The following is a 23933-nucleotide window of genomic DNA, read 5'->3' as shown; positions in this document are numbered from 1 at the left end:
CCGGGCGTGGTGGGTCACGCCTGTAATCCCAGCACTTTGGGAGGCCAAGGCGGGCAGATCATGAGGTCAGGAGATCGAGACCATCCTGGCTAACACAGTGAAACCCTGTCTCTACTAAAAATACAAACAATTAGCTGGGTGTGGTGGCAGGCGCCTGTAATCCCAGCTACTCGGGAGGCTGAGGCAGGAGAATCACTTGAACCCGGGAGGCAGAGGTTGCAGTGAGCTGAGATCGCTGCACTCCAGCCTGGTGACAGAGCAAGACTCTGTCTCAAATAAATAAATAAATATAAATAAATACAATTTATAATGTTAAGATGAACAGTTCACTTAATTGTTTTCTTACCACAGTTACATTTTTAATAAGGAATTTCTTCACAATTTATTTTCTTAAAAACCCCAACAGATCTCAGTGGGATTTTTTTCAGCTTTAGTAATATTTACCTACCACAACCAAAGTGGAAAGTCCCCCTACACAGGCCAAGTTGCAGGATAAAAGGAAAGTCCCCATCGGGGTTAGAAGGCAGTCATTGATGGGGGCCACGTCCCTTTGCCGGATTCACATCTGCATCATTGAGATCTGTCCCAGAGCCCAGCATAGGTGGAGGTGGGCTCAGCAGATGGGGGCTGAAGATCCAGGGAACTTGGAAGTGTGGGCAGCTATGTGGCTGTCAGAGGTGGCCCCAGGCCTAGGTCCTCTACTGTAGGACAAAATGTCAACATCTTCGTCAGGCTAAAGATGTTAGGGTGAGGGGGCAGGAGGATTTACCTGCGTCAAGAACCAATCCCCACCTTGCCCATCCTACTCTGTGTCAGGGCCATGAGGGTGATGACACTCACAACTTCAGAGGTGATCTGGTCTAGGGTGTTTCAAATCAGGCCTTGGAGGGGCCCCAGGCCTGCCTCCCCCTGCAACCAGGGCAGCCTCCACGATCTGTGTACACCTTTGCTGGTTAAATGATTGTTGGCATAATTGTTTTGTTTAGTGTCTCTCTTCTTCTCTGAGGCCAGGATCTAGGAAGACAGGGCTTTGTCTGTCTTGTCCACAGCTGGATCCCCAGAGCCCAGTATGACACTTGACACATAGCAGCTCTCAAAAAATAACCTGTCAAATGAGCGAAACAATACATGGTAATGTAAGAATGAATGGGCCCCACAGCTCAAAAAGCATTGTGAAGCCCACAGACAGCCCAACTGTTTCAGTTTAGGGTGGGTAGGTGTGGTGGAGACTCCCATGTCTGTGCTCAGGAGAAGGAGACGTTGAGTCTTGGTTCTGCAACTTTGGAGCCTGTGAGACTGGGGACAAGTGACTTTACTTCTCTGAACCTTCATTTTCTCAGCTATGAACCACCAGATATGAAGGGAGCAGGGGTATGTGCTTGATAACCCCCATGTGACAGAATTTCCACAAAGATTAAATGAGATCATACCTCAGAGCATTTAGCACAGCTCTGGCAATAATCGGCAGTTAACAAATTATGATTCCCCCCCTTTTACCTTATTGGGAAGCTGACCAGGATGTCTCTTTGTTTTAGAGTCAGAGATGAGATCAGCTTTGCATTATTTGGGAGGAGAAGAGAAGAATTAACTAGTCTTTGGTCTTTGTATCATTTGGGAGGAGAAGAGAAGAATGAACTGGTCTTTGGTCTTTGTATTATTTGGGAGGAGAAGAGAAGAATGAACTGGTCTTTGGTATTTGTATTATTTGGGAGGAGAAGAGAAGAATTAACTGGTCTTTGGTCTGTGTATTATTTGGGAGGAGAAGAGAAGAATTAACTGGCTTTGGTCTTTAGGTATGCATGTTAAATTTTAAGGGTAACCACTAAATAATGAGAAAATATATAAATTCTAATACAGTAGAGAGAAGAAATGGAATCATAAGAAATTCAGTCAATACAAAGAAGACAGGAAAGGGGAAAGAATAAGCTATAAAAATCAGGACAATTAAAAAGCACAAAATAACATTATAGGAAGAATTTCAAATATATTAGTAATTATAGTAAATGTAAATGAGCTAAACTTCCAGTTAAAAGACAAGGATTTCAGACTGACTTAAAATCGAAAGACATACCTAAAACATGAGGACAGAAATCATGAAAGTAAAAATGATGACAAACACAAGAAAGGTGATGTAGCTTTAATGATCTCAGACGTGCACACGAAGGTAAAAAGCAGAATAGGTTGGAAGCAGAACACCAATGCTTTTCCGTTCCCAAGTTCTGTCATATTGATGTCAACATGATTTTGACATGTTGGCATTATCACCCAGGCCAAAAAGCGTGAGGGAAACAGGGACCAGCACAACCAGGGTGTTCCCCAATAAGAGCCTTAGACACTCTAGTCTGTTTACTCAGCAGACCTTGGCCGAAGTCTGTCACGAATTTGGCCTTGCATAGCGTGCTGGGAATGCAGAAGTCGCCCCAACACAGTCTCTACTCACACCAACTCACAGCCTAGACAAGGAGACAGACGTGTGAAACCAAATTATAGTCACTGCGATAGGGATCTAATAAGAGAGTGTGTGTGTGTGACTGATGAGGGACCAGGGGTCAAAAAGGGCTTTTCCAAGGAAGGCAATTGGAATTTTCCAGAGAACAAGGAGGAGGACAGTATAGAAAAGGGGCAGAGCCTGTGCAAAGGCAGAGAGGCTGGACAGAGTGTGGCAAGCAGAGGGAACCCCATGCATCTCTCTTCTCCCTACTATGGCTAGAGTCAAGGAGAGGGCAGCAGGGCAGGTTCTGAAGGGCCTCTGACACTTTGTCGAGGGTGATAGCCATGGGAGGCTGGGAGTGGGGATGTGGCAAGGTCTGAACTGCATTTCCGGTCATTCTGACAGCCAGTGTAGAGGAAAGATGCTGAGGGAGAAACTGGAAGCCCAGAGACAGGACCAGTGTTTTGTTTTTTTGTTTTTGTTTTTGTTTTTGTTTTTGTTGAGACAGAGTCTCACTGTCACCCAGGCTGGAGTGCAGTGGTGCAATTTCAGCTCACTGCAACCTCCGCCTCCCGGGTTCAAGCGATTCTCCTGCCTCAGCCTCCCAAGTAGCTGGGACTACAGGAGTGTGCCACCACGCCAGGGTAAATTTTGGTGGGTGTTGTTGTTGTTTTAGTAGAGACGAGGTTTCACCATGTTGGACAGGCTGGTCTCGAACTCCTGAGCTCAAGCAATCCTCCCGCCTTGGCCTCCCAAAGTGCTGGGATTACTGGCGTGAGCCACTGTGGCTGGCCAGGACCAGTGTTAATGATCATTATCAACTGAATTAACAATGAAAAAATATCTATTACTGCATGCTCGCCATGTCCCACACATTCATTGTCTCATCCCAAGCGCTCACTGTCTTGTCCAAGCATCACAGTAACCCCATGCTACCTGGGAGGAAAGTGGGCTCAGAGAGGTGAGGACACTTGCCCGAGGCCACCAGGGAGTTCAGGCTGGTCAGCAGCAAAGCCAGGATTCAAACCCAGCCTCAACCATCCCCCACGAGGCTGCTCAGCAGGCATTCTGCAGAGAAGAGGAGACAGAATAGACTGGAATTCTGTTCAAAATAAAGAGACTCCCTATTTAAAGCAGCCCTATGCCACATGTTTCAACAAAACCAGGCTTCCCTTTGCAGCAACACCCCCATTCCACTCAGTTCTCAACTGCATTATTAAAGTGATTGGCGGGGGGACCCCACCCCCTCCCTTTGGGAGTGTCCCTTCATCTCCCTTCACACCCCCTTCCCTCTGCAGCTGGGTCACTGCGTGCTGAGCGCCGAGCAGCCTCAGGCTGTCCGCCTGTGGCCACGCTGTTGTCACGGTCCTCTGTCCAGAGGCACCAAGGAGACTTGGAAAACACTGTGGGCTGGAGCCCCAGGTGCACGCTCCCCGGGACCGGCAGCCCTGCTGAGTCACTTGACTTCACCGAGCCTTGGTCTCCTGTCTCTGAAATGACGTGTGATGCTCACCTCCAGGGCTGCCGGGGGAGTCAGCAGGAGCCTGGGGTGCCGCAGAGGCTCCGGGAGCTGCAGGCAGGAGGTGGGCATGGAGGGGGCTGAGGCCCAGGGCTCAAACCCTGGCTGTGCCACTTCCTGGTCATGTGGCCTCGCTGAGCCATCTTCTTTCTCTGAAAAGTGAGCCTAGGCTGGGCACGGTGGCTCACGCCTGTAATCCCAGCACTTTGAGAGGCCAAGGCAGGTGGATCACCTGAGGTCGGGAGTTCGAGACCAGCCTGACCAACATAGAGAGACCCCCCCCCCCCAGGTTTCTACTAAAAATACAAAAAATTAATCGTGCATGGTGGCACATGCCTGTAGTCCCAGCTACTTGGGAGGCTGAGGCAGGAGAATCACTTGAACCTGGGAGACGGAGGTTGCAGTGAGCCAAGATGGCGCCACTGCCCTCCAGCCTGGGTGAAAACAGCGAAACTCCATCTCAAAAAAAAAAAACAAAAAAGGAGCCTAGCAACACGTGCCCTGCAAGGCATCATCGCCTGTGCCCAGCACACGCCTCCAGGTGCCAAGCCCTGAGCGGAGTGAGTCTCACCTCAAGCCTTCAGAGCAGCTCGCAAGGCTGACGTTGTGAGGTCCTTTCACAGACAACGGCCCCTCTCCACCTCTGCACCTGCAGGCCTGCTGTATCTCCATTCAATCAATAAGCAATGGGGGAATGAGTGGAGACCTTTGGGCTGGGTTCAAGAGGGTGAGCAGGAGCTTTCCCGGTGGATGAAAGGGAAGGGCGTCCTGAGCAGAGGGAACAGCATGTGCAAAGGTGGAGTGCCCGGCGAGAGGGTCCAAGGACTGATCCTGGCTAACGTGTATCCGAGTGAGGGCTGCGAGTGAGGGGCCATGCAGAGGGGAATGGGGAGAAAGGCAGATGCCCAGGCAGGGCTTCCAATACAGGCTGAACTTCCCGAGGGCACTGGGGAGCCCCGGAGGCGTCTAGAGGAGGGCAGAGGCAGGGTCAGCTCTGGCATAGCAGGACCCCAGAGATGGACTGGAGGGGAGAGACTGAAGCCCAGGCAGGAGGCTGCGGCGGGCCCAGGGAGAGAGGATGAGGCGGGGCTGGGCTGTGGGGATGGAGAGGAAATGGGGGAGTGCGCTGCAAGGCATTAAAAGGCATGAAGCCACCTGGCCCTGCTGGCCGACCCACGACCCACGGGCAAGGCCGCAGCCCCGCTTTGGACGGGGAGGATGAGCTAGGGGGGGCCCACTGAGAAAAGGGACCCTGAAGGGAGGGAGGGGAGGGTGGGGCACAGAGTGTTTGCTGGGAATGAAGGGGGCCCCAGGCCATCTCAGTGTAACCCAGAGAGGGGGAAAGTTCCAGGGGGCTCTTGACAGCACATGGACCAGCAATACCTTTGTTCTTTCTGTATTTATTATTATTATTATCGAGACGATTCTCACTCTGTTGCCCAGGCTGGAGCGCAGTGGCAGTCTCAGCTCACTGCAACCTCCTCCTCCCAAGTTCATGCAATTCTGCCTCAGGCTCCTGAGTAGCTGGGATTACAGGCGTGCATCATCACGCCCAGCTAATTTTTGTGTTTTCAGTAGAGACGGGGTTTCACCACATTGGCCAGGCTAGTCTTGAACTCCTGACCTCAAGTGATCCACCCGCCTCGGCCTCCCAAAGTGCTGGGATTACAGGCATGAGCCACCGTGTCCGGCCTCTTGGTCCAGGCTTTCTTTTAAAGTCCACCTCATTCTCTGCCTAGCGATCAGTGATGACCGGGACCTCCTCCTCCTGTTACTATTATTGATGTTATTATTATTAATAGAAATAGCAACCGAGTGCCTGCTTTATCAATCACCAGCATTTCCCAGGGAGGTGATAAGCTGCGTTTGGTGAGAAGGGCCCCATGTGTATTATGTTTGGGAAAACTAGAGTTGAGCAAAACAAAGCCGCTGTCTCCCACTGGGCTTCACGGAGCTTCAACACGCCAGGTGCACTGGAGTCTCGGGGAGGGAGTGTGCAGGCTCCTAACGCATTGATATGAGAGAGTGTTTTTTTGCTGTTGGTGTTTAGCGTCCCGGGAAATGAGCTCTGAGAACCGGCTCTGAGAAGCTCCAGGTTGGGTTCTTCCCCAGATACTCTCTCTGAGGAAGAAATGCAAGCTCTGGGGGGGTCCCCTGGCAGAGGGGGGAGTTTTAGAGCTCTAGCCCAGTCAGGCCAGAGACATTCTCAAGCCCCTGCTTCTCCTGCCCTGGACAGGCGATGCCCACAGCCCCCAGCCTCATGCCCAGGCACAGTCGCATCTCCGGCTGGGTGCAGAGACCCCAGGCCGGCTTGGGACCCAAATGACCCTCAGGACCCGCACCTGCAGAGGCATTCCTGCTGTACTCCGCCATTCTCCCTGCCCCACAAGGCCTGCCCGAGCCCATCCTCAGGCTGTGTCCTGCAGGCTGAGCCCCCACCAGCTCCCTGCAAATACATTCACACCCTCCTGCCTGTGAAATAGCATTCACGGAGGTCTCATTCAGTTCTGAAAGCTAGCCATGTTCACTCTGGGAAGTTAGACAAGGCAGAAGCCTATTAAGAAAAAAATCGGCCGGGCGCAGTGGCTCACGCCCGTCATCGCAGCACTTTGGGAGGGCAAGGCGAGTAGATCACTTGAGGTCAGGAGTTCAAGACCAACCTGGCTAGCATGGCGAAATGCTGTCTCTACTAAAAATACAAAAATTAGCTGGGCGTGGTGGTGCACACCTGTAATCCCAGCTTCTCGGGAGGCTGAGGCAGGAGAATTGCTTAAACCCAGAAGGCAGAGGTTGCAGTGAGCTGAGATCGCACCACTGCAGTCCAGCCTGGGCGACAGAGTGAAATTCCATCTAAAAAAAAGAAAGAAGAAATCAAGCACAGACATAGTGACTCACACCTGTAATCCCGGCACTTTGGGAGGCTGAGGCAAGAGGATTGCTCAAGGCCAGGAGTTTGAGACCAGGCTGGGCAACACAGCAAGACCCCATCTCTACAAAATTTTAAACTTAGCAAGGCATGGTGGTGTGTGCCTTTAGTCCCAGCTACTTGGGAGGCTGAGGTGGGAGAATCACTGGGACCCAGGAGGTTGAGGCTGCAGTGAGTTATGATCACAGCACTGCACTTCAGCCAGAGTGACAGAGGGAGACCCTGTCAGAAAGAAAGAGAGAGAGAGAGGGCCAGGCACGGTGGCTCACGCCTGTAATCCCAGCACTTTGGGAGGCCGAGGCAGGCAGATCACGAGGTCAGGAGATCGAGACCATCCTGGCTAACACGGTGAAACCCCGTCTCTACTAAAAATACAAAAAATTAGCCGGGTGTGGTGGTGCGTGCCTGTAGTCCCAGCTACTCCAGAGGCTGAGGCAGGAAAATCATTTGAACCCAGAAGGCGGAGCTTGCAGTGAGCTGAGATCGTGCCACCGCACTCCAGCCTGGGCAACAGAGCGAGACTCAAAAAAAAAAAAGAAAAAAAGAAAAGAAAGAGAGAAAGAGGGAGGGAGGGAGGGAGGGAAAGAGACAGAGAGAAAGGAGAAAGAAAAGGAAAGATCACCCTGTCAATTACAGATCAATGTCCATACGTAGGTATAGCCGTGGGCCAGTACTCTAGAGGGCCGTTCATATCATGTCTTTGAAGCACTATTCATGATGTAAGAAAATACTCACAATGTTATTAAGGGGAAATGCAGGACCCAGGCAAGTATATTGTATCATCAAAATTTTGTAAAAAAGCAAGCCACAATGAATGGCTCATGCCTGTAATCCCAGCACTTTGGGACACTGAGGCGGGTGGATCATTTGAGGTCAGAAATTCGAGACCACCTGGCCAACATGGTGAAACCCCCTCTCTACTAAAAAAAAAAAAAAAAAAAGAAAAAAGAAAGAAAACAGCCGGGCGTGGTGGCTCATGCCTGTAATCCCAGCACTTTGGGAGGCTGAGGCGGGCAGATCACGAGGTCAGGAGATCGAGACCGTCCTGGCTAACACAGTGAAACCCCATCTCTACTAAAAATGCAGAAAATTAGCTGGGAGTGGTGGCGGGTGCCTGTAGTCCCAGCTACTCGGGAGGCTGAGGCAGGAGAATGGCGTGAACCCAGGAGGCGGAGCTTGCAGTAAGCCGGGATTGTGCCACTGCACTCCAGCCTGGGTGACAGAGCGAGACTCTGTCTCAAAAAAAAAAAAAATACAAAAATACAAAAATTAGCCGGGCGTAGTGGCGTGTGCCTGTAATCCCAGCTACTCATGAGGCTGAGGCAAGAGAATTGCATGAACCCGGGAGCCAGAGGTTGTAGTAAGCCAAGATTGTGCCACTGCACTCCATCCTGGGCAACAGAGTGAGACTCTATCTCAAAAAAAAAAAAAAAGTAAAAGATAATGAAAAAATATATCCCTGCATAATATGCATAGAAAAAATTGGAAGGATGTGCCAAATGATTAACATAAATTAGCTCTGGGTAGATGTATTTTGGCCAATTTTTATTTTCTTCTCATACATTTTTTCCTAAATGAGTATATATTACTTTTTAACAATTTTTTTAATTTTAGAAACACGGTTTCACCTTATTGCCTAGGCTAGTCTGGAACTCCTGACCTCAAGTCATCTGCCTGCCTCGGCCTCCCAAAGTGCTGGGATTACAGGCGTAAGCCACTGCGCCTATCCTTCGTCTATCCTTTTCACTCTGAGGCGGTGGAGTCCTTCATTGCGCAAGACGCCCTGTGGTTGGGACCCAGTCCCTGCCCTCCCTGGAGGCACCTGGACTCTGGGCTCCAGGGAACCCAGCCCCGGGGATCCCTGACCAGACTGGGGTGGGGAGACGGGACCAGGACATCCTCCTGTGTAAGTGACCCTGGAACTAGGTGTTGAAGGACAGATGCAGGGAGGTATCCAGGAAAAAAGCAGGAAAGGTGCAAAGGCCAGAGGCAAGAGTGTGTCTGCTGGGCTCAGGGACTTGCCAGAACAGGAGGTGGGGGAAACAAGTAGAGGAGGAAGGAGAAGGTGGTGCCAGGCGGATGAGCTGCTCCAGGGCAGAGACTGTGTCTTATGGGCTCTCACTGTCATTGTCGCCTTGGTGGCAGCACAGCGGGGCATGGGAGAGTCTTATGCTGGGACTGACGGGCAGTCCTGGGAGGATTGTGAAGGGCCCAGGGGAGGGACAGGGGATCTGTGGGTATAAACAGACTTCTATTTTATTTTATTTTTGAGACTGAGTTTCTCTCTTGTTACCCAGGCTGGAGTACAATGGCGTTATCTCGGCTCACCGCAACCTCGCCTCCTGGGTTCAAACGATTCTGCCGCCTCAGCCTCCCAAATAGCTGGGATTACAGGCATGCGCCCTGCCTAAACAGACCTTTCTAGGGCCTGGTGGGAGAGGCAGAGGGCTGAGGTGCAGCTGGGGCCATTGGCATGGAGAGGAGAGGCTGGAACAGGGAGTCGGAGGACAGGGGGCCAGGATGGGGGCGGCCCTGATTTTCTGCGGGAAAGGATGCAGTCAGACAGTTCTTGCCGGGGAGGGTGGCTCACGTGTGTAATCCCGGCACTTTGGGAGGCCGAGTTGGGCAGATCACCTGAGGTCAGGAGTTCAAGACCAGCCTGGCCAACATGATAAAACCCTCGTCTCTACTAAAAAAAAAAAAAAAAAATACAAAAATTAGCCGGGTGTGGTGGAGGACGCCTGTAATCCTAGCTACTTGGGAGGCTGAGGCAGGAGAATCACTTGAACCCGGGAGGTGGAGGTTGCAGTGAGCCAAGATTACGCCATTGCACTCCAGCCTAGGCAACAAGAGCAAAACTCCCTCTCAAAAAAAAAAAAAAAAGTACGGTTCTTGGCCCTAAGAGCCGCCTTTCAGTGGACGGCTCAGGGCTGTAATCCCAAGGGCATGGTACAAGTTTCTCAACGCCAACGATAACGATAACAATGAGAATGACGACGTGCTGAGCACCCCTGAACACTGGGACCTCATCTCCTCTCCCTCACCCTCTGAAGTGCTTTTCATCATCCTCCTCGTGGTAAGAGTGAGCCCAGAGGTACAGAGAGCTCAAGTGACAGGCCCTACAACCAGGACGGGGGAGGCGGGATTTGAACAGGGCTCTGCTCTTCACACTACACCCGTGACCTCTGTTTCCGTGTCTGTCCACGGGGAACGGCGATGGGTGGGTGTGAGGTGGCCGAGCGAGACGGGGAGGGGCGCAGGCTCCGGCCAGCCCTGCCCAGCTCTGCCATGGAGCAAGCCACTTCTTTAGGCTCCTGTTTCCTCCTTTCTAAAACGGGGCGATCACAGTCCTTGTTCTTAGGGCTGCTGGATGGACAAAAGGTGACTGTGTCCACAGAGCGTCCCTGGGCACCGAGTAAACCCGCAGCATCTCACAGGGCAGCCGCCAGCATCGGGGCTGCTGGCTGGGCTCGGGGACTGCATGCGTTGCTACTGAGAGGTGCCCTGGACGCCCTGGGTGTAAAACACATGTTGGGTTTCCTTGGATTTCGAAGCTCCACCATAAAGAGTGTAAAATGGCTCAATCGCAAGTTTGCATCTGATGACAGGTTCAAATGAGAGTATTTTGGACCTGTTGAGCTAAATAAATATATTAGTAAAGTTGATTTCACCTGTTTGGTTTTTTCTTTATTATTATTTCAATGTGGCTTCTAGGAAATTTAAAATTACACATGTGGGCTGGGTGTGGTGGCTCACACCTATAATCCCAGCACTTTGGGAGGCTGAGACGGGAGGATCGCTTGAGGCCAGGAGTTTGAGACCAGCCTGGGCAACATAGGGAGACCCCATCTCTACAAAAAATTAAAATAAAATAAAATTAGCCAGGTGTGCTGGCACGTGCCTGTAGTCCCAGCTACTCAGGAGGCTGAGGCGAGCAGATCACTTGAGCCCAGACGGTCAAGGCTGCAGTGAGCCGAGACTGCGCCACTGCACTCCAGCCTGGGTGACACAGCAAGACTCTGTCTTAAAACAAAACAACCAAACAAACATTACACACGTGTTCACATTCTATTTCTATTGGACAGCACCGACATACATTATTATTATTTTATGATTCTGCCTATGCCACAGATTCTACCATTTCTTACGCTGTTTGCCTCTCAGGTATATCTGGGTTTGGTTTTGTTTTTATTCCTGCTTACTGTAAAAGTAATTTTTCCTCATTGAGGAAAAAATATCACACAAGAATAAAAATTGTCCATAATTCCCAACAGATAAAGTTCACTACTAAGAAAAGCTTGGAGTATGTCCTTCCAGTTTTTTTTTTTTTTTAGACAGAGTCTCACTCTGTCACCCAGGCTGGAGTGCAACTGGGCGATCTTGGCTCACTGCAACCTCCGCCTCCCGGGTTCAAGAGATTCTCCTGCCTCAGCCTCCCAAGTAGCTGGGATTACAGGCACCTGCCACCATGCCTGACTAATTTTTTGTATTTTTAGTAGAGATGGGGTTTCGCCATGTTGGCCAAGCTGGTCTCGAAATCCTGACCCAGGTGATCCACCTGCCTTGGCCTCTCAGAGTGCTAGGATTACAGGCATGAGCCACCATGCCCGGCCTCTTTTTTGTTTTTAAGATGGAGTCTCACTGTGTTGCCCAGGCCAGAGTGCAGTGGCGCGATCTCGGCTCACTGCAACCTCCGCCTCCCTCTTGCCTCAGTCTCCCGAGTAACTGGGATTACAGGCACCCCCCACCACCCCCGGCTAATTTTTGTATTTTTAGCAGAGACGGAGTTTTATCATGTTGGCCAGGCTGGTCTCAAACTCCCAACCTCAACTGATCTGCCCGCCTCGGCCTACCTAAGTGCTGGGATTACAGGTGTGAGCCACCACGCCCGGCCTCTTTTTCTCTTTTTTCTTTTGGTGCATATACTCTGATACCTAATTCTTCAGCTTCTTTGTGATGACACAGGATGCATCTGAGGTTCTCAGTTTCCTCCGTTAATACTGTAACACCGCATTCCCCCAGTGTCCGTCCCCTTCTCCCTGGCACACACCACTATCTGGGCTTTGCAGATATGATCCAATGGCTGTGTGGCCTTCTGGGCCTCAGTGCACCCGGCGTGGTCATCAGTAGTGAGGACCCTGTGAGCTCCTGCCTCCCGTGCTCTGACCCAGCACTGCCCCTCCCGTGGACCCCAGCTCCAGCCCTGAGAGGCGGCAGCCAGGGTCAGAGGTCAAGAGCCAGGACTCTGGAACCAGAGGGCCTGGATCCAGTCCCAACTCTGCTGTCCACTTCTGTGTGACCTTGGGCAAGTCACTGCACCTCCCTGGGCCTAATTCATCATCCTTCGTGTGAAACTCTTGAGGTCTGATGCGTTTTGACATTCCGATATTAGAAACATAGTAATAGATAGTATAGGTTTTATAATATCTTAGTGGTCTTGAAACATGGGAATTTCTAGAATGAAATGTTTGGATAGTCACGAGTGGGATCAATAAAAGCTTTACTTTCATGTGGCTGGGTGAGGTGGCTCACGCCGGTAATCCCAGCACTTTGGAAGGCCAAGGCGGGTGGATCACCTGAGGCCAGGAGTTCGAGACCAGCCTGGCCAACATGGCAAAACCCTGTCTCTACTAAAAATACAAAAAATTAGCCAAGCGTGTTGATGCGTGCCTGTAATCCCAGCTACTTGTGAGGCTGAGGCAGGAGAATCACTTGAACCCGGCAGGCAGAGGTTGCAGTGAGCCGAGATCACGCCTCTGCACTCCAGGCTGGGCGACAGAGCGAGACTCCATCTCAAAATAAATAAATAAATAAATAAATAAATAAATAATAAATAAAATAGCTTCACATGAGTTCTGATCGGGTTTTGCCACCAAGTGGGATTTGGTGTCAAAGTTTGGAAAAATCTGATTGTTAGGGCCTTAAGAATTTTGGAATTGCAGGTATCGAATAAGGACTGGTAATAGTGCCCATCTCACAGGGCAGTTTGGAGGATTAAAAGAGTTATTACCCACAAAATGTTTAGAACAGTGTCTGGCACCAAAGATGTGTTCAATGTGTCTTAGTTGCTGGTATTACTATTTTCATTTTGTATATTTATTTATTTATTTTGGGGACGGGATCTCCCTCTGTCACGCAGGCTGGAGCTCAGTGGCACGATCACAGTTCACTGCAGCCTTGGCCTCCTGGGCTCAGGCGATCCTCCCATCTTAGCCTTCTGAGTAGCTGGGACCACAGGTGCATGCCATCACACAGGGCTAATTTTCGTATTTGTCTGTAGAGACAGGGGTCTTGCTTTGTTGACCAGGATTGTCTTCAATTCCCGAGCTCAAGTGATCCTCCCACCTCGGCCTCCCAAAGTGCTGGGATTACTGCTGTGAGCCACCATGCCCAGCCTTATTTTTTTCATTTTTAAAACTATGTATAGTGGCCGGGCACGGTGGTTCACGCCTGTAATTTCCCAGCACTTTGGGAGGCCAAGGCAGGCAGATCACTTCAGATTGGGAGTTCAAGAACAGTCTGGCCAACATGGGGAAACCCCGTCTCTACTAAAAATACAAAATTGGCTGGGCACGGTGGCTCACGCCTGTAATCCCAGCACTTTGGGAGGCTGAGGCGGGTGGATCACGAGGTCAGGAGTTCAAGACCAGCCTGGCCAACATGGTGAAACCCCATCTCTACTAAAAATACAAAAATTAGCCAGGCGTGGTGGCACGACCCTGTAATCCCAGCTACTTGGGAGACTGAGGCAGGAGAATCGCTAGAACCTGGAAGGCGGAGGTTACAGTGAGCCGAGATTGTGCAACTGCACTCCAGCCTGGGTGACAGAGCAAGACTCTGTCTCAAAAATAAAATAAAATAAAATAATGTATCACTGGCATGGAATAAAATATCCTCATTTTAAGTGTAGTTTGGGGAGTCCTAACAGTCGCTTTCCGTCATGTAACCACCACGCCAATGTAGCACCTTTCAATCACCCCAGAAAGCTCTCTCATGCCCTTCCCTGTCTGCCCCAGATACCTCACCTGCCCACACACGCAGAGACGCACACTTAGAACACCCAGAGCATGGTGTGGACGGATCCACCGCACCGGCTCCTTTGTGTTCGGCGTCTTTTGCTCAGTGTAACCCCCTAGAGATTCATCCAGAGGGTCATCAGTAGCCAGGTCCCTTTCATGGCTGAGCTGAGAGATTCATCCAGGGGGTCACAGCAGCCAGGTCCCTTTCATGGCTGAGCCGCAGCATCCTTTACACGGCCACACCTCGCAGTGTTTGTCCATTCACCTGCTGAGGAACATTTGGGATGTCTCCAGCTTAGGCAGTCCTGAGAAAAAAATGCTGTGAACACCCACATAGAAGCCGTTGCGTGGACATCTGCCTTCATTTCTCTTGAGGAAATACCCAGGAATGGAACAGCCGGGTCGGATGGCCACTCCAGTTTTAACTTTTTTTTCAAAAGTTTTTTCCTCTTCAATCCCAAAATTCTTGGTTTTATATTTCTTTTTAAATTCTTTTTGTAGAGACAGGGTCTCCCAATGTTGCCCAGACTGGTCTCAAGCTTCTGCGCTCAGGTGATCCTCTCACCTTGGCCTCCCAAAGTGCTGGGATTACAGGCATAAGCCACTGTGCCTGGCCCCCAAAATTCTTTTTTTTTTTTTTCGAGACGGAGTCTCACTCTGTCACCCAGGCTGGAGTGTGGTGACACAATCTCAGTTCACTGCAACCTCTGCCTCCCAGGTTCAAGTGATTCTTCTGCCTCAGCCTCCCAAGTAGCTGGGATTACAGGCATGTGCCACCACGCCTGGCTAATTTTTGTATTTTTAGTAGAGACGGGGTTTCACCATGTTGGCCAGGCTGGTCTCGAACTCCTGACCTCAGGTGATCCACCCACTGCAGCCTCCCAAAGTGCTGGCATTACAGGCATTAGCCACCATGCCTGGCCGTCCCCAAAATTCTTGACTCCAGTTTTAACTTTCTAAGTAACTATCTTTTTTTCTCTTTTTTTCATTTTCTTGTTTGTTCATTTTTCTTTTCTTTTCTTCTTTTTTTTTTTTTTTTTTTTTTTTTTTTTTTTTTTTTTTTTTTTGACAGGGTATTACTTCATTGCCCAGGCTGGAGTGCAGTGGCGTGATCAGGGCTCACTGCAGCCTTCACTTTCCAGGCTCACGCAATCCTCCCACCTCAGCCTCCCTAGTAGCTGGGACAACAGGCACATGCCACCACGCCTGGCTAATTTATTTTATTTTATTTTATTTTTGTAGAGATGGGGTCTATGTTCTGATGCCCAGTCTGATCTTGATCTCCTGGGTTCAAGTGATCTGCCCACCTCAGCCTCCCAAAGTGCTGGGATTACAGGCATGAGCCACCCCTGTGCTTGGTCCCCCAAAATTCTTGAATCCAGTTTTTTTGTTTGTTTCTACATGGAGTCTTGCTCTGTTGCCCAGGCAGGAGTGCAGTGGCACTATCTCGACTCACTGCAGACTCCGCCTCCTGGGTTCAAGTGATTCTCGTGCCTCAGCCTCCCGAGTAGCTGGGATTACACGCACCACCACACCTGGCTAATTTTTGTATTTTTAGTAGAGACAGGGTTTCACCATGTTGTCCAGGCTGGTCTCAAACTCCTGACCTCAAGTGATCCACCTGCCTCGGCCTCCCAAAGTGCTGAGATTACAGGCGTGAGCCACCACACCCAGCCTTGACTCCAGTTTTAACTTTATAAGAAACTCATCAAACCATGTTGCAATATAGGTCGTACCGTCACAGCACAGCACGGGAGATCCAGCCACACGGCCCCACCTGCGCCCGGGACCTTGGTGATCCCCCCACGGTCCCCGTCAGTATCTCCGTGACTGATCCGTGTCTCCCTCTCCCCAGGTGATCCGGACGGACACGTTCAAGCACCTGCGGCACCTGGAGATTCTGCAGCTGAGCAAGAACCTGGTGCGCAAGATCGAGGTGGGCGCCTTCAACGGGCTGCCCAGCCTCAACACGCTGGAGCTTTTTGACAACCGGCTGACCACGGTGCCCACGCAGGCCTTCGAGTACCTGTCCAAGCTGCGGGAGCTCTGGCTGCGGAACAACCCCATCGAGAGCATCCCCTCCTACGCCTTCAACCGCGTGCCCTCGCTGCGGCGCCTGGACCTGGGCGAGCTCAAGCGGCTGGAATACATCTCGGAGGCGGCCTTCGAGGGGCTGGTCAACCTGCGCTACCTCAACCTGGGCATGTGCAACCTCAAGGACATCCCCAACCTGACGGCCCTGGTGCGCCTGGAGGAGCTGGAGCTGTCGGGCAACCGGCTGGACCTGATCCGCCCGGGCTCCTTCCAGGGTCTCACCAGCCTGCGCAAGCTGTGGCTCATGCACGCCCAGGTAGCCACCATCGAGCGCAACGCCTTCGACGACCTCAAGTCGCTGGAGGAGCTCAACCTGTCCCACAACAACCTGATGTCGCTGCCCCACGACCTCTTCACGCCCCTGCACCGCCTCGAGCGCGTGCACCTCAACCACAACCCCTGGCATTGCAACTGCGACGTGCTCTGGCTGAGCTGGTGGCTCAAGGAGACGGTGCCCAGCAACACGACGTGCTGCGCCCGCTGTCATGCGCCCGCCGGCCTCAAGGGGCGCTACATTGGGGAGCTGGACCAGTCGCATTTCACCTGCTATGCGCCCGTCATCGTGGAGCCGCCCACGGACCTCAACGTCACCGAGGGCATGGCTGCCGAGCTCAAATGCCGCACGGGCACCTCCATGACCTCCGTCAACTGGCTGACGCCCAACGGCACCCTCATGACCCACGGCTCCTACCGCGTGCGCATCTCCGTCCTGCATGACGGCACGCTTAACTTCACCAACGTCACCGTGCAGGACACGGGCCAGTACACGTGCATGGTGACGAACTCAGCCGGCAACACCACCGCCTCGGCCACGCTCAACGTCTCGGCCGTGGACCCCGTGGCGGCCGGGGGCACCGGCAGCGGCGGGGGCGGCCCTGGGGGCAGTGGTGGTGTTGGAGGGGGCAGTGGCGGCTACACCTACTTCACCACGGTGACCGTGGAGACCCTGGAGACGCAGCCCGGAGAGGAGGCCCTGCAGCCGCGGGGGACGGAGAAGGAACCGCCAGGGCCCACGACAGACGGTGTCTGGGGTGGGGGCCGGCCTGGGGACGCGGCCGGCCCTGCCTCGTCTTCTACCACGGCACCCGCCCCGCGCTCCTCGCGGCCCACGGAGAAGGCGTTCACGGTGCCCATCACGGATGTGACGGAGAACGCCCTCAAGGACCTGGACGACGTCATGAAGACCACCAAAATCATCATCGGCTGCTTCGTGGCCATCACGTTCATGGCCGCGGTGATGCTCGTGGCCTTCTACAAGCTGCGCAAGCAGCACCAGCTCCACAAGCACCACGGGCCCACGCGCACCGTGGAGATCATCAACGTGGAGGACGAGCTGCCCGCCGCCTCGGCCGTGTCCGTGGCCGCCGCGGCCGCCGTGGCCAGTGGGGGTGGTGTGGGCGGGGACAGCCACCTGGCCCTGCCCGCCCTGGAGCGAGACCACCTCAACCACCACCACTACGTGGCTGCCGCCTTCAAGGCGCACTACAGCAGCAACCCCAGCGGCGGGGGCTGCGGGGGCAAAGGCCCGCCTGGCCTCAACTCCATCCACGAACCTCTGCTCTTCAAGAGCGGCTCCAAGGAGAACGTGCAAGAGACGCAGATCTGAGGCGGCGGGGCCGGGCGGGCGAGGGGCGTGGAGCCCCCCACCCAGGTCCCAGCCCGGGCGCAGCCTGACCGGGACCCCTCCCTCCCACAGCCCAGCCCACCTTCTGGGACCACGCAGGGAATTGGGGAGAGGTGGCTTCCAGCCCCATCTGGGGCTCGGACCCCCAGTAAGGACAGGGTGGGGCTCCAGGAGCGGAGTCTCTGGGATCCTCGCCTCACCCCCGCCAATCCCCGGTGACGGGAGGGGACGTGGGACCCAGGAGAAGTGGCCTGAGTTCTCCGCGTTTCCTCCTCGCTCTCCCACCAAGCGTTCCGGGCCCGCCGCCTTCCAGGGGAGAGAGGAGCTTTCTCCAGGGGTGTCCTTTCCCCTCGGCCCCAAACACCTTCCTTTTACGGTTCAGTTTTTGCAGTTTGACGCCCGTCCCTCCCTCCCACTCCTCCGCCCTCAAAACTGAAGAGATGGACACGTCGCCAGAGCTCCCGTCCCAGCGCCCGGCTCTGCTCCCGGCCGGCGGTCCCTGTCGTCGGCGCGGGGGGGAGCCTCCACCCGCCCCAGCCCCACCTGCCCCACAGACACTTTTGATACTGAAGGGAGGTTTGCGTCAACGACTACCTGCTCTGTAATTACTTTAAAAAAAAAACATGGAAAAAGTAAAAAAATATTTTTTTTGGTCATGAAAGCACGGAGGAGAGAAAACAAAGTGAATGTGGGTGGGGGCGGAAGGAGAGGCTGGAGAGCCAGCCTCGCAGCTCCGTCGGGAGGGTGGGCACGGGGCACCTCCGGGTGGTCTTAGGCCCCTCAGCCTTCACCCTGGAGACCCCAGAGAAGGTCTGATTCCCTTTCTTCCTAAACTCCTCCCCCAGCACCGCCACACCACACCCAAACCCAGGTGGAGACTTATAACAAAGGAAATCTATCGTCCCACAGTTCTGGAGGCTGGAGGGAGGGCCACGCTCTCTCTGAAACCTGGGGATACCTCAGGGGAGCTTCCTGCCTCGCCAGCTTCTGGTGTCCCCAGGCTGTCCTGGCTGGTGGCTGTATCACATCACCCCAGTCTTCCAGTGCCTGCCCCTGTAGCCTCTCATCTCTTCCCTCTGTGTGCGTCCGTCTGTGTCCAACTCCCCCTCTTTTATTTATTTATTTTTTAATTGAGATGGAGTTTTATTCTTGTCGCCCAGGCTGGAGTGCAATGGTGTGATCTCAGCTCACTGCAACCTCTGCTTCCCAGCTTCAAGTGATTCTCCTGCCTCAGCCTCCCAAGTAACTGGGATCACAGGCATGCGCCACCAGGCCTGGCTAATTTTTGTATTTTTAGTAGAGATGGGGTTTCACCACATTGGCCAGGCTGGTTTCGAACTCCTAACCTCAGGTGATCCACTCACCTCAGCCTCTCAAAGTGCTCGGATTACAGGCATGAGCCACCGCGCCTGACCGTTTTCTTTGTTTGTTTCTTTGTTTTTGAGACAGAGTCTTGCTCTGTTGTCCAGGCTGGAGTGCAGTGGCACAATTTCAGCTCACTGAAGCCTCTGCCTCCCAGGTTCAAGCGAATCTCCTCCCTCAGCCCCCTGAGTAGCTAGGATTACACGCGACTACCACCACACCCAGCTAATTTTTGTATTTTTAGTAGAGACGGGGTTTCACCATGTTGGCCAGGCTGGTCTCGAACTTCTGACCTCAAGTGATCCACCTGCCTCAGCCTCCCAAAGTGTCGGGACTATAGGTGTGGGCCACTGCAGCCTGCCTAACCTCCCCTCTTACAAGGACAGAGGTCAGACTGGACCAGGAGCCTCCACCTCCAGTATAACCTCAGCTCCATCCTTGGCAAAAACCCAATTCCCAAATAAGGTCCCATTCTGAGGCCCTGGAGGTCAGGACTTCTGCGCTTCCCTTTCTGGGTGACAATTCAACCCACAACAGGGCCCAATCCAGAGTGTGTCTCTCCACTGCAGACCCCCTCAAGGCTGCTCCAGAGGACGGGGTGCCGAAGGGGAGGGAGGCCAAGCGGGAGGCTGGGCCTGCGGCCTCTGGGGCACAGCAGCTGTATTTCTGGCCGGTTCAGTGGGAGGCTGGAGGGCCGGATCGGGTGGGCCTGGGGCGGCAGGGGCACCACAGTGCCACTCAGAAGGGCAGGAGCAGAGCCCTGGGAGGGCAGGGAGCAAACCCTGAGCGGGCCTGGCTGGGGGGTTGCTGGCACAGTGGGCAGCTGTTGGGTGGGTTGGGGGAGGGGGTGGTGATGTCTCTTGGGGGGTCAAGGTGCCCGAGTTGCAGGCCCTGGAGGGCTGGGGCTGGCCAGGGCTGCCATCTCACGCTGCTGGGGGAGGCAGAGGGAGGGACGGAGCCATGCAGGGCCTTCCAGTGCTTTCCCACGCTGAGGTGGCTTCGGGGACACAGCCCTGAGGACACACAGGCCTGCGCCCAGCCCCCTTCTCCCCTCGTAGTGGCCCAGGCTGTACCCCGTACACGGCAGCTATGGGCACTATGGGGACACTCAGGCCCCAGCAGGAGTCAGAAGGTAGAGATGGCGGGAGGCCCCCCACTTCCGTGAGGTGCCTGGCCCCTGCCCCCTTCCTGGCTCTGTCTACACCCAGGCATCTCATCTCTCCCACACCGGGGGCTCCTGGCTCTGGAAGCCAATTCCTCCCTTATCAGCAGCGGCAGCCTTTGGGTGCCACGTCGGGGTCTTGGCCCCTCTCTGTCTGCCCGCGTCTGTCTCCTCTCTCCTCCCGTCAACTTGGGGCTCTCGCCACCCAGTGCCCGCCCCCCCCACCCCATGCTCCCGTTCACGCTCTCTTTCTCTCCAGCCTCCTTCCAGCGCCAATCCTGGTTGCCATGGAAACACTGCAGCGGGTACCAGGTGGTGGCTGGGGGCAGGGAGCCTGCGCTGCCGCAGCCTGCGCCATTTCCGATGCCAGGCACCCTCAAGGCACAGAGGCTGGGGCTCATGTTGGGGGCACTTGGCCTCTCCAGGCCTCGAAGGCTTCTCCTGGGCTGACGCGAGCTGGGGAACGGGAGGGACGGACGTGGGAGCGAGAACGTCACACTGGAGGCAGCTGGTGGCACGATGGGGGACAGAGTGAAAGGTAGCAAGTCAAGGTGAACTGAAGGATGATCAGAGCGGAGGGAGGCTGTGGACAGGGGCGGAGGCTGTGGGAAGGGGACCCGTGCTGCGCAGCGGGGCTAGGGAGGTTGGACCCGCTGAGGCAAGGGCACATTGAGGAGAAGCCACAACCAGGGCTCCCGCTGCCTCTGGGAGGGCTAGGGCCACGGCCAGGCTGAAGCCTCCCTCAGACCTTAGCCGCCTGAGGACAAGGAGGAGAGGTGAGCACGAGGGGACAGACAGAGCCCAGAGTCCCTGTCACCATCTCTTCTCCCAACCCAAAGCAAGATGCAGTTTCCATGACAACCTGGCCGGCCAGAGAGGGGGCAGGGGACTGCAGAGGAAACTTTCCACATCAGCAGGGAGAAAGAGGGTGTGCTGCAGGGGAAAGGGGGGCACGCAGGGTTCCCAGAACCCCCGGTCACCATGCTCACTGTGCTGGACCCGGGAAAGTGGACAGAGCACAGGGAAGGGTTCTCCCGCCTCCACTCCCGCAGGCCCACGCCCCCACGCTGGGCCTGCGGGGAAGGGGGAAGACTGAGCCCAGAGGCTCAAGGGTCAGATGTCCAAAGAGCAGCGGCTGCCCAGGCCTTGTGCAGCGGGCAGCGAGCAGCCCAGGGAGCCAGGCCCCAGACACCGCACTCAGGGCCATGGCCGACAGGGGCCCGTGGAGGGTGGGCGTGGTGGGCTATGGCCGCCTCGGTGAGTCCCTGACCATCCTTGGCCTCCTTCCCCAAACCCCTTCCTAAAGCTCCCAAGACTCTCTGCCCTCCACAAACACTTTTTTCTCTCTCTATCTGCCCCTGGCTGTGTCTCTGGGTCTGCCCACTGCACCCCCACCCCAGGTCTCTGTCCTCTCCGTCTCTGTCTCCCTTCTCTCTGGGCCTCTGTCCACCCCACTGTGTCTCTGCCCTGCCCCCATCTCTGTCTCCCTACCCCGCAATCTGAGTCTGTCCCCACCTCCTCTCTCTCTGGGTCTCTGTCCCCACCTCCTCTCTCTCTGGGTCTCTGTCCCCCTCTCTCTGGATCTCTAGCCCTCTCCTTTCCCTCTCCCCAGGACAGTCCCTCGTCTCCCGCCTCTTGGCTCAGGGACCAGAACTTGGCCTAGAACTTGTTTTTGTCTGGAATCGTGACCCAGGACGAATGGCAGGGAGCGTGCCCCCTTCCCTGCAGCTCCAGAACCTTGCTGCCCTTGGGGAAAGGTCAGTGACCTTGCCATGGGAGAGTGGAGCTCCCTGAAGCTCCTGTCCTGGCTCTCTTAGCCACTGTGTGATCTCAGGGGTTCCCTGACCCTCTCTGGGCCTTGGTTCAAGCAAATGTGAAACAGGACGAACCCATTCATCTCATTTCGCCTCCCAGGTCAGGGAGAAGAAGGGCAGCCCTCAGTAGACTCGGAGGGAACCTTGGGGAGAAGAGGCCTAATACCTCTCCAAGACCCTCCGCCCTCTTTCCCCTCTCCCAGGCGCCCTGATCTGGTTGTGGAAGTGGCCCATCCCAAAATAATCCATGAATCTGGGGCACAAATCCTGCGCCATGCCAATCTCCTGGTAAGCCCCACCCCAACCATTTACGCAGAGCCCTGCCCCTTCTGTCTTGGTCTCACCCCACCCTGAAGTGGATATCCTTCCCTGACCTCAACCCTCCCCTCCTTCATCCACCCCAGGTGGGGTCCCCCTCAGCTCTAAGTGACCAGACCACAGAGCGGCAGCTCTTGGAGGCCTCACAGCACTGGGACCACGCCGTGTTTGTGGCCCGAGGGGCCCTGTGGGGCGCTGAGGACATCAGGAGATTGGATGCAGCTGGGGGCCTCCGGGTGAGGCCTGCTGGGCTCCCCAGGAACCAGGGGAGGCCTGCAAAGACCCCACTCCCCCTAACCCGGGCTCTTGCTTCCAGAGCCTTCGTGTCACCATGGCCACACACCCCGATGGCTTCCGGCTTGAGGGACCCCTGGCTGCAGCCCACAGCCCTGGGCCTTGCACTGTGCTCTACGAAGGCCCTGTCCGTGGGCTCTGCCCCTTTGCCCCGCGAAATTCCAACACCATGGCGGCGGCTGCCCTGGCTGCCCCCAGCCTGGGCTTCGATGGGGTGATTGGGGTGCTCGTGGCTGATACCAGGTGAGCAGAGCTAAGCAGGGTGTTGGGCTGAGTCCAGGCTCTCCAGACTGACTGCCCCTCTTGTCCCAGCCTCACGGACATGCACGTGGTGGATGTAGAGCTGAGCGGACCCCGGGGCCCCACGGGCCGAAGCTTTGCTGTGCACACCCGCAGAGAGAACCCTGCCGAGCCAGGCGCGGTCACCGGCTCCGCCACCGTCACGGCCTTCTGGCAGAGCCTCCTGGGTGCGGCCAGGCCCCTCTCCCCCGGCCCTGGGCTCCTGTGTTCTGCAGAGCTTGGGGGTCCCGGGCTCTCACTAGTTCTGCAGTTCTGGTTCTGTATTTGTTGACCTTTCTTTCTTTCTGACCTTTATTTCCTTAACCTCTCTCCATGACTTTGAATCCTGGCACTGTAGATGTCTCCATTTGTGCCCGCCTCTGATCGAGACTCTCTCTGTCTCTGTCCACCCCCAGGGCTCTGTCCCGCTCTCTCCGGGTCTTCCTCCACCGCCCCCCTGCCCTGTCCCCTCCTCCCACCACTGCCTCCCCCAGGCGTCTGTCTCCTCATCTCTCCTCTGTCTCATTCGCTCATTCCCCTCTCCCCGCAGCCTGCTGCCAGCTCCCCTCCAGGCCGGGGATCCATCTCTGCTGAGAAGCCTCCTCCCTCCCGAGACAAGATCATCTGCCTGGCCTCTCACCACCACCATCCCACCCCTGCCCTGCCCCACTTCCCCAGGGTCTCCCTTCTGACTCAGTAAAGATCACCGCTGCCTCCCCCCGCACCGCCTGGCGTCTCTGATCCCTTTCCCTTGTGTGACGTCACGCTGCGTCTGCGCACCGCGCATGACGCCATCGCCGGGGGCGAGCACCCATGAGAGCGCGGCGCCAGGAAGCTATCGCGAGAGCCTACCTACTAAGTTTCCTAGAATCTCTGAGCAGTAGTGGGCGCGGCCGTATGCGAAAGAAGGGCCTCTGAGGCGCACTTCCGGGACCTGCCGCGGAGCCCGACGGAAGTTGTAGTGCGGCATTTCCTAGGCCCGACGGCCGACTTCAGGGCCACGCGGCCCGGGCGTTCCGTGTGGAGCAGGAGTCCCGCGGGGCCCCACGGGAGTCGTAGTCCGGCGCGCGGGGATCACCGGGAGCTGTAGT

At 54.9% G+C, this 23933-nt stretch overlaps 2 protein-coding genes and 1 long non-coding RNA gene across 14 annotated transcripts in view, besides 3 other annotated features; 2 read left to right on the top strand and 1 right to left on the bottom strand.

The window, feature by feature from the left end:
• LRRC4B (leucine rich repeat containing 4B) overlaps positions 1-18274 on the top strand; it is a 51544-nt gene extending 33270 nt beyond the window's left edge. For all 7 annotated transcript variants that reach the window (NM_001080457.2, XM_006723506.4, XM_011527520.4 and 4 more), the window contains one exon: positions 15751-18274. In NM_001080457.2, coding sequence (NP_001073926.1) covers positions 15751-17595 — 1845 coding nt within the window. In that variant the 3' untranslated portion in view covers positions 17596-18274. The remainder of the gene's footprint in view (positions 1-15750) is intronic.
• Positions 335-23748, bottom strand: LOC124904747 (uncharacterized). Its single transcript, XR_007067300.1, has 3 exons — positions 23695-23748; positions 3368-3499; positions 335-1105 (listed from the first exon to the last, which is right to left on the bottom strand). It is a non-coding gene; the product is annotated as an uncharacterized LOC124904747 (long non-coding RNA).
• Positions 425-514: an enhancer, noted in NCBI's record as "active region_14993". NCBI's record gives its function as "activates an Ori minimal core promoter by ATAC-STARR-seq in GM12878 lymphoblastoid cells {active_cell/tissue: GM12878}" and the evidence as "EXISTENCE:reporter gene assay evidence [ECO:0000049][PMID:35858748]".
• ASPDH (aspartate dehydrogenase domain containing) lies at positions 20065-23563 on the top strand. 6 transcript variants are annotated; one of them, NM_001114598.2, is made up of 7 exons: positions 21253-21394; positions 21750-21894; positions 22155-22239; positions 22356-22505; positions 22586-22806; positions 22876-23030; positions 23393-23563. In NM_001114598.2, the coding sequence occupies exons 1-7, from the start codon at positions 21343-21345 to the stop codon at positions 23434-23436; spliced, it is 852 nt and encodes a 283-aa protein (NP_001108070.1). In that variant the 5' UTR covers positions 21253-21342; the 3' UTR covers positions 23437-23563. The 6 variants fall into 6 exon arrangements, with proteins under 6 accessions (XP_047295017.1, XP_047295018.1, XP_047295019.1 ...); XM_047439061.1 differs by lacking the exons at positions 21253-21394; positions 21750-21894 and adding an exon at positions 20065-20675; XM_047439063.1 differs by lacking the exons at positions 21253-21394; positions 21750-21894 and adding an exon at positions 20482-20688.
• Positions 22781-23370: an enhancer, noted in NCBI's record as "H3K27ac-H3K4me1 hESC enhancer chr19:51015053-51015642 (GRCh37/hg19 assembly coordinates)". NCBI's record gives its function as "activates a minimal SCP1, AML or CMV promoter by ChIP-STARR-seq in primed H9 embryonic stem cells {active_cell/tissue: H9 hESC(primed)}" and the evidence as "EXISTENCE:reporter gene assay evidence [ECO:0000049][PMID:30033119]".
• Positions 23674-23793: an enhancer, noted in NCBI's record as "active region_14992". NCBI's record gives its function as "activates an Ori minimal core promoter by ATAC-STARR-seq in GM12878 lymphoblastoid cells {active_cell/tissue: GM12878}" and the evidence as "EXISTENCE:reporter gene assay evidence [ECO:0000049][PMID:35858748]".

Source organism: Homo sapiens, chromosome 19, assembly GCF_000001405.40.
Source record: "Homo sapiens chromosome 19, GRCh38.p14 Primary Assembly".
Classification (NCBI taxonomy): Eukaryota; Metazoa; Chordata; class Mammalia; order Primates; family Hominidae; genus Homo; species Homo sapiens.
The sequence above is the reverse complement of the archived record's forward strand: the minus strand, read 5'-3'. Positions and strand labels throughout refer to the sequence as shown.